Raw genomic sequence first — 16,987 nt, 5'->3', positions numbered from 1 at the left:
AGTTTGGTGAGACCATTTTGTCATGGCTTAGAGATCTTAAAACCAGGTTTTTAGTATTTAAATTATATAGATACTGCCCTTGAGTTTCAGTAAAGGGCATAATTAATATAAATATATGCATTTATAAATAAATTATCTATTGTACAACTCAAGCCATTCTATGCGTAGTGAAGAGTATTGCCATATTGAATGAGGAAGTACACTTGAACAGGGAAAGCACCCTCCAAATGAGAATAAGGGACACTTCTATTTTCATTTGGTTTTAACAGCTGGGTTAAGGTCCAGCTTCTTTTTGGTCAGTTTTTAAGTTTTTTGAGTTCATAGAAGAAAGGGATATACTAAATATTTTCTGTGTCATTTCATTTGCAAACTGCGTAAAACAACTATAAAGTAGATGGTGATATTCTTGTTTATCAAAGAAATAGATTCAGGCTCAGAGAAGAGAGCAGGCTGGGGTTTAAGCCCCAAGTTATCTTGGTTCTCAAGCCCTTGCTCTTAAGCTCTTTTTTAGAAAACTGGAGAATATGGAAAAAGTCTCTGAAGAGGCTTTCTATAGGGAATTAACCACTGTAAGTGGTTTTTAAAATTTAGTCACATTTAAGTCACAGTTAATACAGGAATTCACTACTAAAAGTAGTATAAGGTCCTTAAAGGATTCTGCAGAAGAATGTAATTGATATTACTTTGTATTTAGGCGTGAATTACCCTTCACTAAGTCGGCTCATCTCACCAATCCTTGGAATGAACATAAACCAGTAAAGATCGGACGTGATGGACAGGTTTGTGGCCTTAATTGATTCTTTAAAAAAACACATTTAATCAACCCTTTTAGAGATCTTTATTGATGTATTCGTTTTAACCGTTTCTGATGAAAGAGACCACGTGAGAATTTGAAAAAATAATCTTATCTGAAGTTTATAATAACTGTGATTGAGACTAATAAGACATCCATTAATGTTGAAATATAGGCAGCTTTATATGGTACTTTCATTTGATACAATTGAAGGAAATATTTCTAAAGAGAATTTGCCAGATTTAAATTTGTTTTGACTATATTATCACTGTTTAACAGATTCTTCAGTTTCTGTAATACATTTTAGAATTGCCGTTTAGTATATGTGCTAGTTTTCTGAGTAGAAAGCAGCTTTCTGAAAAGATTAAATATATGTACTCAGGTTTTCAAGTCTACAAATGGAACTGAAAATGTGGAGTAATTGAAAATTAACCAAAACCTTTCTTTGACCCTTGTAATTCTCACATGTAATTCTGAACCAGAAGTTTTGTTTTATTTTATTTTTTAATTTTAATTTTTTTGGAAACCAGGTTACGAGAGTGGCTAATTTTTGTATTTTCGGTCGAGACAGGGTTTCACCATTTTGCGAGGCTGGTCTCAAACTCCTGGCCTCAAGCGATCCGCCTGCCTGGGGCTCCCAAAGTGCTGGAATTACAGGCATGAGCCACTATGCCTGGCCATGCAAAAGTAATATGACATTTTATTGCTCATGAGTAAAAATGTTTTCACTTTTTCAATTACAAATAGCTGAAAATGATTTAATTTTAAAGAGCCCATAGATTGGTCTGCCTTTGTGGTAAATCTAATGTATTTCAATACACTTAGTAGATCATAATTATCAAAGTTGTTGGTACACACACTAACATGAATTTTTTTTTTCCATTGTATTAAATGACCTTGTCCTGATATTTTTCTATTTTGCACAAAGAAATAGTCCCTTTTCAGAGGGTGGTTGTCACAGAATTTTAAGCAACTGCATTTGTGTATTTAACTTCAGAGATTCTACACTTTTAGTTTTTACCCTTTATATAAATACACAAAACACTTTTTAAATGTTTTATAAATCTGGAAGTCTTATTGGAATCCCATATGATCATCAGCCTTGGGAAGAAAGCTTCCAAGTCAGTTTTTGTTCTGGTACATCAGGAAAATGCAAGTCTGTTGAAAGGGTCTGTTTTTGTTTTATAAATTGCTACTTTCCTATTCTAGGAAATTGAACTTGAATGTGGAACCCAGCTTTGTCTTCTGTTTCCCCCCGATGAAAGTATTGACTTGTATCAGGTCATTCATAAAATGCGTCACAAGAGAAGAATGCATTCTCAGCCCCGATCACGAGGACGTCCATCCCGTCGAGAACCAGTCCGGGATGTGGGAAGGTTAGAAACGTTCTTTGGACTGATAATAGGCACATGTATCAGAATAACATGATGGAGGAATATGATTCGTCAAAAGTTTGTCCTGCGGTAAAGAAGAAAGAGAAAATCCTCAAATCAAGCTGCATGGACTAGTTTGTGGCTTCATTGAGGATTTCACATGGTCACCTTGGTCTCAGTCATTTTTCAAGAGGAAAATGGGGATCTTTCCTTATGCAGAAAAAAGTATAACCAGTGATAACCAGTTTAGATTAGATAATACTCTGATAATACAATGTATACAATTGAAATGAGGTAGGCATTTGTTGCTAAGAACAGGCTAGAAAGGAGGAAGAGGAGGAAGTCTTTATTTGCAAAAATTGTTAATACTTTTTAAAAAGCCTTTTCTTTCAGGTATGTCTCTGGATAAGCCTTATCAGATATGGGACTTTTATAAAGGATCACTAATATTTTTTCAGAAGATGACGCCTCATTTAGAGGATAAAATATTTTAAGTTATTTTGATATTCAAGAGGAGCATTATTGGGACTGTTTCAGATTTTATCACCGTGATGTGTTAACCCTATTGCCAAATATTCTCTAACATGTACCCAGTGAATTCACACATCTTGCTGAGCTTCTGAAAACAATAGGTTCTTTCCAAAGGGGATCAAGTGGCCCTGGGAGACCCGGCAACAAACCAAAAAGAAGGGCTGTTGCTGTGTCTGTTTACAACTTTTCCAGATGCTGGCAGTACCTGTGGACTTAAAAGTGTTTTTTAGAGGATCGCCATGGTTATTGATCACTACTTTATGAACTAAACAGCATTTTCCAGAAAAAGGGGGTTTAACTTGTTACAGAATTGGAGAAGTCTTTGCAAAGGACTGATTTAAGCCCTTCTACCCAACACCTTCCCCTGTGTAGATTTGCATACAGCTAAATCTAAAATATTCTGCTAAAGACTATTGGATGTATGGTTGATGGGATGAAACCTTTGATTAAATTTCCTTTTGGTGGAGACATCCTGTGGTAGGTACAGATAATCCAACAAGAGTCCCCATTTCTTTGAGCTTAAAAAGGACACTGTCGAGTAGGTAGGAGGAAACCTGGCAGAGCCCCTTATTTTTGGCCTAAAAGGACTGAGCACCAAGATGTCTTTTGAAGTTTTAAGCTAAGAGGTTTCCAGTGCAATACAATATATACAAGTGAAGTTTTTACCTCAGTTTTGCAATGGACTGCAAACTATACTTATTACACCACTACACCTTCTCTCAAGCCTGCCAGGGCCTCCATTTATGTATGTGGCTTACAGCTTAAAGTCAGTAGTTGGACTACTATATGAACTGTTACTATCATGTTTTATACCGGTCGTAAATGCACTCCCCAAACTACAGGAAAGCGGTATGTTTATTTTTTAAACCAGCTTTTAATTTTCTTAGTATTATTTATTGTAGATGCAACTGTTTTTATTCTGTTGGGGGGCTTGGGATTATTGCACTTAACTTTGCAGTTTGAGTGAACTGTGTTGAAAAAGTTAATGAAAGCAGTTGGTACTCAGACAAATAGCTGAAAACTAGTGAATGCTAGGTTGTTATCAAGTTTTTATTTGACATTAAGGTTAAAAAGATATATTTATTTTCTAAATATTTTGGACTTTTTTTTTGTTTAACTCTTTATTAGCTGCTAAGTAAATTGAAGTGTATTTAATGATGTGTTAAGTTAACCCGATTTATGGAAGACAGTAAAGAACAGCCCTCTGTAGTCAGTAAAGTTTCACCTTCTAAAGAATATATTTTGAATTAGTTTTATGAACTCTGTTAAAATTCTGACCCATTACTTGCCAATTTATAAAAGCCTATTTTATTACAAGGCATTGTCTCTGGAAAAAAAAAATTCCCTTAATTCTTAAATGTCATTAGATGTAGAAAGAAAAACTAAATGTTACTAAGGATTATTAAGAAATAGTTTTTTAACTATTAAGATTTTAAAAACTTTCCTGTAAAGTTGCTTTTAATAAGTATCAAATTTTCTGTATGATCATGTAAAATTCATAATTTGTGCAAAGCAGAGGAAAAATAAATTCTTAATTTTGTTTAGACTTAACCTAAAATGACATTTATAAGTTTTAAATATGCAGATTTTAGAGTTACATATTGTACAATGATGATAGGTTTTTCTAGTTTTTATTTTTCATCTGAATGGAGACTTTATTTGGGAAAGTGTTTTAATTGTTAAAACTGATATTTAGTTTGAGAATGACTTTGTTTACTTTTGTTTAGACTACTAAAATGTGACTTACATGTTTTGATTGGACTAGTCTGCAATTTTCTCATCATAGCATGAGTTGGCAGAGAATATCTACTTCCAGCAGTACATTTAAAGTTTGGTTTATAGGAATTAATTTGAGAATCAAAATGTAGGAATTTTAAAATAATTTGCTCACTAAAAAAATTAAGATGTTAAATAATGGGTTATTCTTTGTACTTATCTCTGTCAGAAACTCTTGCTTTACTCTTTGTTCTCCCAGCAGTTTTTGGTTTAATTTCTAATGTGTCTAATTTGTGTAGGCGTCGACCAGAAGATTATGATATTCATAACAGCAGAAAGAAACCAAGGATTGACTATCCCCCTGAGTTTCACCAGAGACCAGGTTAATATTTTATAATCCTGCAGATATTTGATTTCAAATTATTGGAAAAAAATTAAAAAATTAAAAACAACCCTCACAATCCTGCAGTTTTAAAAGTGAAAAAAATTCAGGACCTGACTACTTAAATCTTGAGAAATTTTAGTAGTTCTCATTAGTGTAATTCTTCCCTTAACTTCGTTAAGGTTGTCTAGTCTATTCCAGTGTAACTCATCATACCCTATGAATTACCTGAAATTGCTAATTTTGCAAAAATGGAAACTTATCTGCACATGTGTTTAAGGTTAAAAGTAGTTATGAAAAGCAATAACCTTATATTCTATCAGGCTTTTTGTTCCCTATGGTAGTTAGTGTTTCATGTGATACATATACATACAATGCTACTTTTTTTAAATAAAAATCTTTATGTCTTTGGAGAGGAATGGGAAATACTCGGTATGTAATCTAAATGTAGCTTTTCAATTAATCTATCCCTTACTGAAATTTAAGAGAGCAAACTATATTCAAGAAGGGATATCATGTATTTGAAGAGAGTCAGTGATACACTTGTGAAACTTAGGCAGTTAGGAGATTGATGTTAGTGATCATTATAGCACTATTATGTAACAAGTGGCTTGATTAGCCTCATTCTTCCAAAATAGGTTGTCCTGTTGTAGAAAGTGAAAATAGTTTTTCCCCAGTAACATGACTACTCAAATGTTTTTACATTTTAATTTGTTGGGTTCTTATTAAAAGAAGCAGGGGAAAGAATATTTTTCTAACCACCATCGATTTTTCATTTTCAGTGTATACATCTTCATTTTTGCAACTTTTGCAATTTTTTCCCCCTCCCCCTTAAGTTTACATTTTAAAAAGCTTATCTGTGGTTTTCTTGGTAAGACCTACATATACCCAAGGTGGAAAGTAAACATTTGTTTTAAGGAAGTCCTGTCATAGTGTGCTCAAGATAGTTCCTCTGCCCTTACCTTCCCTGTGAAGCAGAAGGAAGAAATTTTCTGATTAGCAAGATTTGGAGTGTGAACATAGAAGATACCTATCTGAAAGCTTCTCTAGCAGTTTACAATTCTATGATATCATTAGTTATTTCCTAGATTATCATGTAATCTGAGAAGAAAATTTGAAAATGGGATAATACAGTAGTAGCATCACTTAAAGTACATATTTCATGGAAAGAATTGAAACGAGTGGTAAGGAAGGTTTAATTATAATGCCATAAAAGAAAAATATAAATTTGATTTACTAAAATGCTTGATGTTTGAACAGGGTATTTAAAGGATCCACGATACCAGGAAGTGGACAGGTAAGTCGGGTTCACTCTTGCCTAGTTTTGAATTACATTCTTGGAACTAGTTTATGAATTACCTGAATTTAGTTTCACAAATCTTATTCCCAACAGACGATTTTCAGGAGTTCGCCGAGATGTGTTTTTAAATGGGGTAAGCATTTCATTTTATCTATTTAATGTGGATAAAATCAGGCTCTGATTTATTTTGCAGTTCTGTGATAATTTTTAATTATATTGACATTATCATCTTTTATTTTAGTCCTACAATGATTATGTGAGGGAATTTCATAACATGGGACCACCACCACCTTGGCAAGGAATGGTTTGTATTATTCTATTTTTATAAGTTACATAACTTAATTTGCAGTTCTAGTATTTCAGGTGCTTACTCGGAATATGATTGTTACAGTTACTCATTAAAGAGACTTAAACTGGCCAGGCGCCGTGGCTCACACCTGCAGTCCCAGCACTTTGGGAGGCTGAGGCGGCTAGATCACCTGAGGTGAAGAGTTCGAGACCAGCCTGGCCAACACGGTGAAACTGAAACCTTGTCTCTACTAAAAATACAAAAAACATTAGCTGGGTGTGGTGGCGTGTGCCTGTACTCCCAGCTACTCGGGGAGGCTGAGGCAGGAGAATTGCTTCAACCCAGGAGGCAGAGGTTACAGTGAGCCGAGATTGCGCCACTGCACTCCAGCCTGGGCAACAGAGGGAGACTCCATCTCAAAAAGACTTAAAATACAGATTTTTGATGATAAATAATTGTATGCTGTCTTTCAAACTAAAGACTAAAAGCTCATTTGTGTTAATAGTACAGGCTTGAGAACTGTAATAGTGTATTATGGTAGTAATTAGTAGTGCAAAGTCCGCTTGGGTTCAGATATATTTCTTTTTCTTCCCAACTCTGTGACTTTGGGTTAATTTCTTAATACAACTCTTAGTTTTCCTCATCTGTAAAATTCCATGGGCATTCACTGATGCTTTGTCTTATCAAATATAATATTTAGTACTTACTCTGTGCAAGGCACTGTGCTTGTTCTGATTATATCATGGTGAATGAAATTGACATCATGACTGTCCTGGTATAGCTTAAAATTTAATGTAGTAGTGTCATTTTCATTGTCAAGATAAATTTACAAAGTACATGTTAAGTTTAGCATAGTGCCTGATCTAATACTCACTAAATTTTCTGTGTAAAATAAGATTAATTAAACCCTGATTATTCCTGCTTTTTAATTATTTCCTTTAAGAAAACTGAATTGTCTTAGAGTATATTTTAAGATATTGAAGATAGCTGAAGCATTAATTTTCAAGAAATAAAAACCTGGAAGTTGAAGTAGCTTCTACTGTTTTCTTACATTTTAATTTATGTCTTTTTTTAAATGCAATATGTTATATGGCCTCTTCATCTGACTTTTGTTTCACTTTTAAGGTATACAGTTTTATACTATTATATGCAGATGATTATGAGACTTTTCCCCTTTAGATTCTAGGAAATTTTAAAAATTTAATAATATATGATCTTGATAGTAACTATGAAAGTAATCTTTAATTTACCCTTTATTCATTTTTTAAATGGCATTTAAAAGTTAATTTGCTCCTGGACTTTTTTTTTGAGAGACAGGGTCTCATTCGGTCTCCCAGGCTGGAATGCAGTGGTGTGATGATAGCTCTGTGCAGCCTTGAACTCCTGGGCACAAGTGGTCCTGCTGCCTCAGCTTCCTGAGTAGGTGGGACTACAGGCACATGCCACTGTGCCTGGCTAATTTTTTTATAGAGACAAGGTCTCACTCTGTTACCCAAGCTGGTCTCCAACTCCTGGCTTAAGGGATTCTTTTCCCTCAGCCTCCCAAAGCACTGGGATATGGGCGTGAGCCACCACACCAGGCCTGTTGATGTTTCTAAGAACAGATACATACAAAGTGGTTAACCAGTTTACCAACTGCAGAACTAGGATGCCTGATGCCGTATGCCTGCTTCACCACTTTAACAGTAGTGTGACTATAAGCAGGTTACTTAACTCCTTGTTGCTTCAGTTTTCCCTTTTGTAAACTGGGAACAATAGTATCTATCTCATAAGGTTGCTGTGAGAATTAAATGAGACTAGTAAAGTGCTTAGAACAATGCCTGGCTCACAGTAAGCACCATGTAAGTGTTTGCTATTTCCATTGTTATTTATATGATAGGAGTAGAAAAGCATAAACATGTTAAATCTTAGAAGATGTGTAATTTTCGACAAAAAGCATATTTTGAAACACCTTAATGCCATCAAAGTAAATGTCTAGTACAGATTCACTTGTTTGGGATTGGTGTTTTGGATGAAGGGTTCTAAGAATCGCTTGTTTACAAGGGTGTTGGTAGATTCTTAATGTAAATGGTTTTCCTTTTTTAGCCCCCTTACCCAGGAATGGAACAACCTCCACACCATCCTTACTATCAGCACCATGCTCCACCTCCTCAAGCTCATCCCCCTTACTCAGGACATCATCCAGTACCACATGAAGCAAGATACAGAGATAAACGAGTAGTAAGTGCACAAGGAGGCAAAGGTGTGAGGGAACTACTTAGAATTCTGTAGGTAACTTAAATATGGGGAGACCAGAGTATGATGATTGACGGACCATTGCATATTCTTACTGCAGACTGTTTTGGAATAATTGTTTGTTTTTATTAAAAATGCCTGATTATGCCCCTTTGGATTATATAGATAGAATATATTTCTTTTACTGATCAAATCACAAACTGCTTAAGGCAAACGCCTACAAATAGAACTCCTTTTAGGTAGTACCTAGGCTATGTTCTTTCCATATTGAGATCTTAATTATGCTATGTAATTAATATTGTTAATAGATATTTCTGAACTTTTTGTGTATTCTTACTCAATTTTTCTAGGATAGATCGTGTATATTAAGTTAGCTGATAAGCTGTAATCTCATTTAGTCATTTGTTTTTATTTCTACCAAATGTTAAAGCTAGTAACTGATAAATTGTTTTACCTCTGGTTATTGTGATGTTAGCAAAGAATAACCAGATGTTATGATATGTAGCAGACATGTCCTTTATTCATTGATTCTGTTAATTATTTGATAAGATTGATGTGAAAGCTTTTTTTGATGGCTTCAAAACAGGACCAGTGAAAAAAAGACTCTAGTTTTAGTTTGAGTTTTCTGGGTTTTTAACTAGTGGGGCTGAGTTTATTAAATGCTTCCCCACCCCCCCCAATAGTACTTTTATTTATAAAGCAGAATTGTCTTCTGGCAAGTGTTGGAAGCATAATTCATATGCATATAAGTTTGATAGCCTTAGAAAGGTAGTTTTGTTGTTAAACTAAGTAGGATATGCAAGTTAGAATTTTTTTCCACTCCCTACTTAGGTTGATGAGTCTGTATGGGGCCAAATAAACATCTTTTTATTTTCCCACTTAAGATGAAGAGTGGGCCTATTTGTGAGAATCAGAGCAGCTTTCTAGCCTATCTTTGAGACATTTTTTTGTGTTGTCAGTAATTTCCTTATAAAGATAGTAATTTTCTCTAAATCAAATCTTATCATGACTTCTAACATTCTGTAAAATAATTTGAGAGTACTAGTTAACTAATTCACAAACTTTAAATTAGTAGTTTATTTTCAGTTAAGCACACAAGAAAGAAATATACAGTCTATCTATAATGAAATCTTAGTTGACTAGATGGGTTGTGGTGTCTTAAAAATTCCCATAACTGATCACATGGCTTTTAAAATAGGAAGTCTGAGATTTTTTTGTTTTCCTCAACTATATCCTTTTTAACAAGTTCTATTTTATGGATCTTTATGTAGTGATTTTTTGGTTAGTATACATATTCTCTACTTACATAATCACATATATAAAAGGTAATGTGGGACTGTGTTTTCAAATCTTATTTCAGCTAAGTTTTGAGAGAAGACCAAAATCAGTAAGGTAAGCTGAGAACTAAGAGTAGAAAGTTTAAACTAGAGCAGGGGCCAAGTTTAGGAGCAGCCACAACTTTTCTTGCACATCAACTTAGTTGTAACAATTTAGTTTGAAAGAAAATCTGGAACATAATACTCAGTTTGTAAAATTGAAGTTGGTAGAATTGGAGGAAAAATGTAGAGCTAGCCTGTGCCAGAAAAACATTGATGACATTTAGCATAATTGGCAGTATATATGGATAATAGTTGAAGGTCATCACTAGTTAATATCTTTGGCCTAAATCTTACTGAAGGGATCAGATGGAAAAGTCATTAAAGTTAAGTGGAAAACTGCATAAAGAGATTTGAATAATCTGTTGTAGATGTCTAATGAGGCATCATCCTTTTTCTAAACCATGTCAGCATATTACCTTCTGTGAATTAATTTATTATTGCATTTCTTTGGATTGTTCTCTCCGCCGATTATAATACAGAGACTTTTCTTTTTTTATATTTTAAAATTGTTTATATAAATTTTTTTTTCAAATCAGGGATCCACTTAACACTATTTGCCTTTTTGACATACCTAACACATTTCTTTCCTTTTCTAGCATGATTATGATATGAGGGTGGATGATTTCCTTCGTCGCACACAAGCTGTTGTCAGTGGCCGGAGAAGTAGACCCCGTGAAAGAGACCGGGAACGAGAGCGAGACCGCCCTAGAGATAACAGACGAGACAGAGAGCGAGATAGAGGACGTGATAGAGAAAGAGAAAGAGAGCGATTATGTGATCGAGACAGAGACCGAGGGGAGAGAGGTCGATATAGAAGATAATGGGCTTTTGGAAGCACTGATTGTTTAAAGATACAAAAAATCTTGTATTTTTTTTTTGTGTGTGTTTACAAGTAGTAAATTTATTTTCAGCTGTCTGCCTATGAAGTTCATTGTGTAGAAGGATTTATTATGACCCCCTTTGTTCCAAGCATGCAGTATCATAAGAACTGGAAAAACTCAAATCCGCCAAAAATCCACAGCTGACAGTTGAATTGACACTTTTATTGGGGCAGAATGGAACAGTCCAAGAATGTAGATACTGATTCTTTCTCCATAAATGTTCTTATAGTGTGTTCATCCTAGAGTTATTTTTTTGTTTGTTTTTTTCCTTTTTGGATCTTGATTGATAACTGCCATGATATTTTGCTTTGATGTGTTTCTACATGTAGTTGCACACGGTTCAGTAAAAATAATGCTGCTATCGAGTATGCAAATATTGAAGTATGATGGTTTGACTGTATGGCAGTGTTGTAGCAGCCTCTTGTTTTTTTCCCCATTGCCTCTTTTTTTAAAAAACTTATAAAGTCACTTTTTATTTTTCCTCAGTCTTCAATGACGAGAGCAATATTAAGAAGACATTGCTATCTAATTTTTAATCTTTTTAAATGAAAAATTCCTATGTTCAGTAGCGTGGTTGATGCTATTGTTTAGCCTTCCCCTCCAAATTGTATACATTGGCTTGGAATGTTCACAACTTGCGTGCGTGGCAGCGGAAGACGATTCCCATATTCTACATTGCTACTGTTTTGTATAAAATAAATTGGTAAAGATTGACGGTTATCTTTTGTATCTTTTTCTTATCCAATTGCAGGTTTGTTTTATTATGCAATAATGGACATAAAAGCATGCTTTTTGTTCAGGAATTTTAGGAACCCCATTTGCTTTTTTTGAGGCACACTTTAGCAGAAATGATTGACCTAGGCCTGTTGCATTAAAAGCTTACTTCTATTTCTAACATAAGATACACAGAGTTATGTTAATAATTTGGTTAAGTATTTATACACCTGATAACATTTTGAGTCTACTCTGATCACAGAATCGTTTATTTAGGTTTTCTATTTGTTGTTTTAGTCTTCTGTAAGTGAACGACTTTGTACATGCTTTCTACTTTACTTCATAAATGGACTTTTAACCCTCTTGTATTAGTTCTGTATTTTAAGTTAACTGTCCAGTTCTCCCAGTGGTAACCAACTATAACATAGAAATAGAGCCGCTCAAGAAAACAGTTTATGAAATAATTTTTTTGAATTTTTTCTTGAGTTACACCTGGAGTTTTGGCCTTTGGAATTTGGCCTTTATAAACATTAGGAATATTTGAATGTTTGATTTTTTTATAGTATCAACAGTTGTACTGTGTACCAGATCACATAGTACAGTTTTACATTTAATCTATATTGGCCTGAAAAGAACAACACAGGCACTTTACTCTTAAAGGATATAATAAACTATAGTTATACTGCATTCATATTCATACCAGCATGTAGTATCTTTCCCTGCATTCACAGAAGTTTTATTTACAATGACAAAACTAAAGCCTGAGGATTTGTTTTAAATCTGCATTGTGGTAGAGAGGAAAAAGTACTTTTAAGGAAACCTGGGTTCTAGTTTTGTCATTGTCTTTAATTAAACCGGTTAGTGATACATGGTAAGTCACTTCATTGGCATTTTGTGTATTCATCAGTAAGCTAGACAAGATGATAGCTACAGTTTAAGAATTTCTGTAACCATTATACAAAACTGGTAGGTAATATTAAAGGTATTTTCCTGAAATAATAGGAATAAATACTGAGCACTTTGTATGCAATAGAGACTTTGTGCTTTTATATACAGACTCATTTAAATGGGCTCAGAGAGGCTAGTAAACTTGCCCAAGATTAGAAAGGTAGTAATTGATGGGCCAAGATTTTACCCATGTTTTTATTTGGTGTTTCTAAACCACCTCATCACTTTTGAAAAAACAGTATATAAATTAATAAATGTTTTGGAGATGGAGTCTGTCGCCCAGGTGGAGGGCAGTGGCATGATCTTGGCTCACTGCAACCTCCTGCCTCAGCCTCCCGAATGGCTGGGACTACAGGCACCCACCACCACACCCCGCTAATTTTTGTAATTTTAGTAGAGATGGGGTTCCAACATGTTGGCCAGGCTGGTCTCAAACTCGACCTCAAGTGACCTCACCTGCCTCAGCCTCCTAAAGTGTTGGGATTACAGGCGTGAGCCACTGCACCTGGCCTGAGATTTTTAAACATTAACATTTCCTTCAGGCTTAAGCAGAGGATTTTTCTAAAGTGCCATCCAATTAGATGTTAAGTTATGCTTTGTATGTTGAGCTTAGTATTGAGTCGATCTATTTTAAAAAGCCAACATTAAGTTTTTACCAAGTATCTGGCACTATTCTAAACAATTCTGTTGGCTCACATAATCATCACTGTTTTCTCCTTTCCTAATTTTTAAAATAAACTTACCGGAACATTGTATAAAAAATGCAAGATTTTTTTCTGTACAGAAGAGTCAGTATATAAAAATCAGTATGTTTTATTTAATATTCGTACACATGACAGCTTTTGTCACTGTGAGAAGACATGGTTTCTTTCGTGTACTCCACTGTGCTGTGATTCTAACAATCTACATTAGTATGATGTGTTCAGATGAAAAACAGAAAATTCAGTCATTCCGAGTTTAGAAATCCGGTCAGGGATTTTATTGGCTGGAGTAATAGTTCAAAGGAGTGAAAATTCAAGCATGTAATTTTTGGATTTGATTTCCTCCATAATGATTTCCTCCATAATGGCTTTTTTTCAAGCATGGTCTAATTTTTCAGAAAATGGCCATTATCTCCAAGCTTCCATTGTCCATGTAGTTTCAGTGGCAGGAGAGAGACTATTTTCCTCCCAGTGTCCATGTCAGTTCCCCAAAAGGACTGAATAGCCATGTTGGTTTTGGAGCCAGCCGTAATCCAATCTGTATTTCCAAGGAAATGGGGTTCTTTGTCTCCCAGCATTGGGAAGCAAGAGAGGCACATGTTATGGTCACCTCTGTGAGGATTACATCAGGAAGGACAGTCTCCAAAAGACATGGACAGAGGAAATTTAGCAGATGTCCATTAAATCAGGATCTCATACAAGTTATAACACCTGAATGTTTGACTTTTCAGAGTATTTTGCCATCACAGGTGTGGCATCTTGCCCTTGGATATATCTACATTCTGCTGTAGAATGTCGTGGTCTTTCTGAGGGTCACATACATCCTGTCTTGTCATAATGTTAACCATTAAGAGTCCTCAGGGGCATGGAATTGAAGAAGGAACTGTTGCCAGCAGTTAACTGACCAAGCTAGAGTTCCCTGACCCAACGTAAGGGTGACTGTGACACACATGGATAATTTTAGCTTCATGTTTAAGATTTTGTTATTTGGGTAGGAAACATTCCAAATGCAGTTTGAAACACATATTAAAATTGAGGCACACAGGAAAGAACTGGCTCAAGTTTAGTCCCCAAGTTCCTTATAGTAGGAATAGGAATCCTTAGAGTATAAGCAATCCATGCATAGTATTCTGTTATCTATCATGTAGATCATTTAATCTCTAATTTTTTGGGGTGGGGATTCTCTTGTTTCTAAATCTTACACTTTCAGTTTCTTCTGTGTCTTAAATATAGATTATTGACTATTGTCTTAAATACTAATAAATACATTAAATGTATCTTAAATACTACTATGTCTTAAACACAGACTATTGACTATTAAATATTTTCATTTGTAACCTTCATACTGGAGATTTGAAAGACAGTCAAAAATAATAGCTCTGAAAAGCTAAGGAATATACAATGTAAAAAAATGTAAGACTGGGTGCAGTGGCTCACGCCTGTAATCCCAACACTTTGGGAGGCCAAGATGGGTGGATCACCTGAGGTCAGGCATTCAAGACCATCCTGGCCAACATAGTGACACCCCTCCTCTACTAAAAACACAAAAATTAGTGGGGCATGGTGGCGCATGCCTGTAATCCCAGGTACTCAAGAGGCTGAGGCAGGAGAATCGCCTGAACCCGGGAGGCAGATGTTGCAGTGAACCAAGATTGTGCCATTGCCTTCCAGCCTGGGCGACAAAGCAAGAGTCCGTCTCAAAAAAAAAAAAAAAAAGTAAGTTATGGCAACAAAAATATAAATTGTTGGGAAGAGGGTAAAAATCTAGAATAATTCTATATGATCTGTGTTGTTACCAGCTTAAAATAGTGTATTACAACTGTAACATTTTATGTAAGCCCATGGTAACCACAAACCAAAAAATTACAACAGATACACAAACAATGATAAAGGACAAAGCTTATTAGCACTACAGAAAATTACCATATCACAAAGGTAAACAACAAGAGAGGACGAAATGAACAAAGAATCTACAAAACAACTAGAAAACAATTTTAAAATGGCAAAATAGGTCCTTACCTATCAATAATAACCTTGATTTTAAATGAATTAAATTATCCAGTAAAGAGTGGTTGAATGGATTAAAAAACAATGTAACTGAGCTGCCTAAAAGAGACCCACTTCAGCTTCCAGAACACACAAAAGTTGGAAGTATAAGAATGGGAAAATCCATACAAATAGTAACCAAAAAAGAGCAGGGATGGCGTAATATACATTAGATAAAAGAAACTTCAAGGTAAAAGCTGTTACAAAAACAAAGATGGTCATTAATGATAAAGCGGCCAATTCATCAAGATGACATAAGAATTATATATGCACCCAATAACAAAGCACCTAAATACATATAGAAAGTATTGGCTGGGCGCGATGGCTCACACCTGTAATCCCAACACTTTGGGAGGCTGAGGCGGGCAGATCACCTGAGGTGAGGAGTTTGAGACCAGCCTGACCAACATGGCAAAACCCCATCTTTACTAAAAACACAAAAATTAGCTGGGTGTGGTGGTGGGCACCTGCAACTCCAACTACTCGGGAAGCTGAGACAGGAGAATCTCTTAAACCTGGGAGGCGGAGGTTGCAGTGAACTGAGATCACACCATTGCACTCCAGCTTGGGCAACAGAGCGAGACTCCATCTCAAAAAAAAAAAAAAAAAATGTACGTGAAGGAAAAATAGATAGCAGTACAATAATAGTTGGTGATCTTAGTACCCCGCCTTAAACACTGAATAGCTCAACTAAACAGAAAATTAAGCAAATACTGGGTTTGACCAAATGGACCTAACAGACATACAGAACTTTCCATCCAAGAACAGCAGAATATACATTTCTTTTCTAGTGCACATACCACATTATGTCTCAAAAAGCTAGAAAAAGAACTAAAGCCAAAGTTAGCAAAAGGAGGAAAATAATACAAATCAGTAAAACAGAGAACAAAAACACAGAAAAAAGCAAAAAAGTAATCTTTGAAAAAATAAGATCAGCAAAATACTAGCTAGACTATGACAAAAAGAGGAAAGACCCAAATAAATAAAACCAAACATGAAAATGGAGACATTACACCAGATGCCTCACAAGTAAAGTATTATAAGGCCTATTATAAATATATGCAACAAATTGGATAATCTAGAAAAAAATAGATAAATTCCTGGAAAAATATAACCTACCAAGATTGAGTCAGGAAGAAGTAGAAAACTTGAACCAATCCAACAAATCAGTTGAAGAAGTCATTAAAAACCTTCCAACCAAGAATAGCACAGGACCAGAAGGTTTCATGGCCAAATTGTACCAAATGTTCATAAAAGAATCTATCAATACTTCTTAAACTCGGTCAAAAAGTAGAAATAGAGGAGATACTTCCAAACATTTCATGGCATCAGAATCACTTTCATATCCAAGGCAGACAAAGACACTGTAAGAAAAGATAGCTATAGGGCAATATTTCTAATGAACATTGATACACTAATCTTTAATAAAATATTAGCAAACAACTAAACAACACATCAAAAAGAACATACATCATGACAAGTGAGATTTAACCCTGGCATGCAAGCCTGGTTTATCATATACAATCAATGTGACATGTGAATTATGAGAATGTTAAAAACCACATGTTCCTTTCAAATGATGCAGGAAAAGAAGTTAACAAAGTTCTGCATCTTTCCCAATAAAGACTTTCAAGTATAGAAGTAAAGTTTCTCAAAATAGTAAAAGTCATTTATAAAAAACACACACAGATAATATTAC

At 34.9% G+C, this 16,987-nt stretch overlaps 1 protein-coding gene across 4 annotated transcripts in view; it reads left to right on the top strand.

Moving 5' to 3' along the window:
- Positions 1 to 14,531, top strand: part of YTHDC1 (YTH N6-methyladenosine RNA binding protein C1) — a 39,704-nt gene extending 25,173 nt beyond the window's left edge. For 2 of the 4 annotated variants that reach the window (NM_133370.4, NM_001031732.4), the window contains 8 exons: positions 695 to 779; positions 2,003 to 2,169; positions 4,713 to 4,795; positions 6,056 to 6,092; positions 6,189 to 6,228; positions 6,337 to 6,399; positions 8,470 to 8,604; positions 10,595 to 14,531. In NM_133370.4, the coding sequence (NP_588611.2) occupies positions 695 to 779; positions 2,003 to 2,169; positions 4,713 to 4,795; positions 6,056 to 6,092; positions 6,189 to 6,228; positions 6,337 to 6,399; positions 8,470 to 8,604; positions 10,595 to 10,819 (835 nt within the window). In that variant the 3' untranslated portion in view covers positions 10,820 to 14,531. Of the gene's footprint in view, positions 1 to 694; positions 780 to 2,002; positions 2,170 to 4,712; positions 4,796 to 6,055; positions 6,093 to 6,164; positions 6,229 to 6,336; positions 6,400 to 8,469; positions 8,605 to 10,594 lie in introns of all 4 variants that reach the window. The other 2 variants (XM_005265708.4, NM_001330698.2) reach the window with 1 other exon arrangement.
- Positions 14,532 to 16,987: the final 2,456 nt, after the last annotated feature.

The sequence above is a fragment of the Homo sapiens genome, chromosome 4 (genome assembly GCF_000001405.40).
Source record: "Homo sapiens chromosome 4, GRCh38.p14 Primary Assembly".
NCBI lineage: Eukaryota > Metazoa > Chordata > Mammalia > Primates > Hominidae > Homo > Homo sapiens.
The sequence above is the reverse complement of the archived record's forward strand: the minus strand, read 5'-3'. Positions and strand labels throughout refer to the sequence as shown.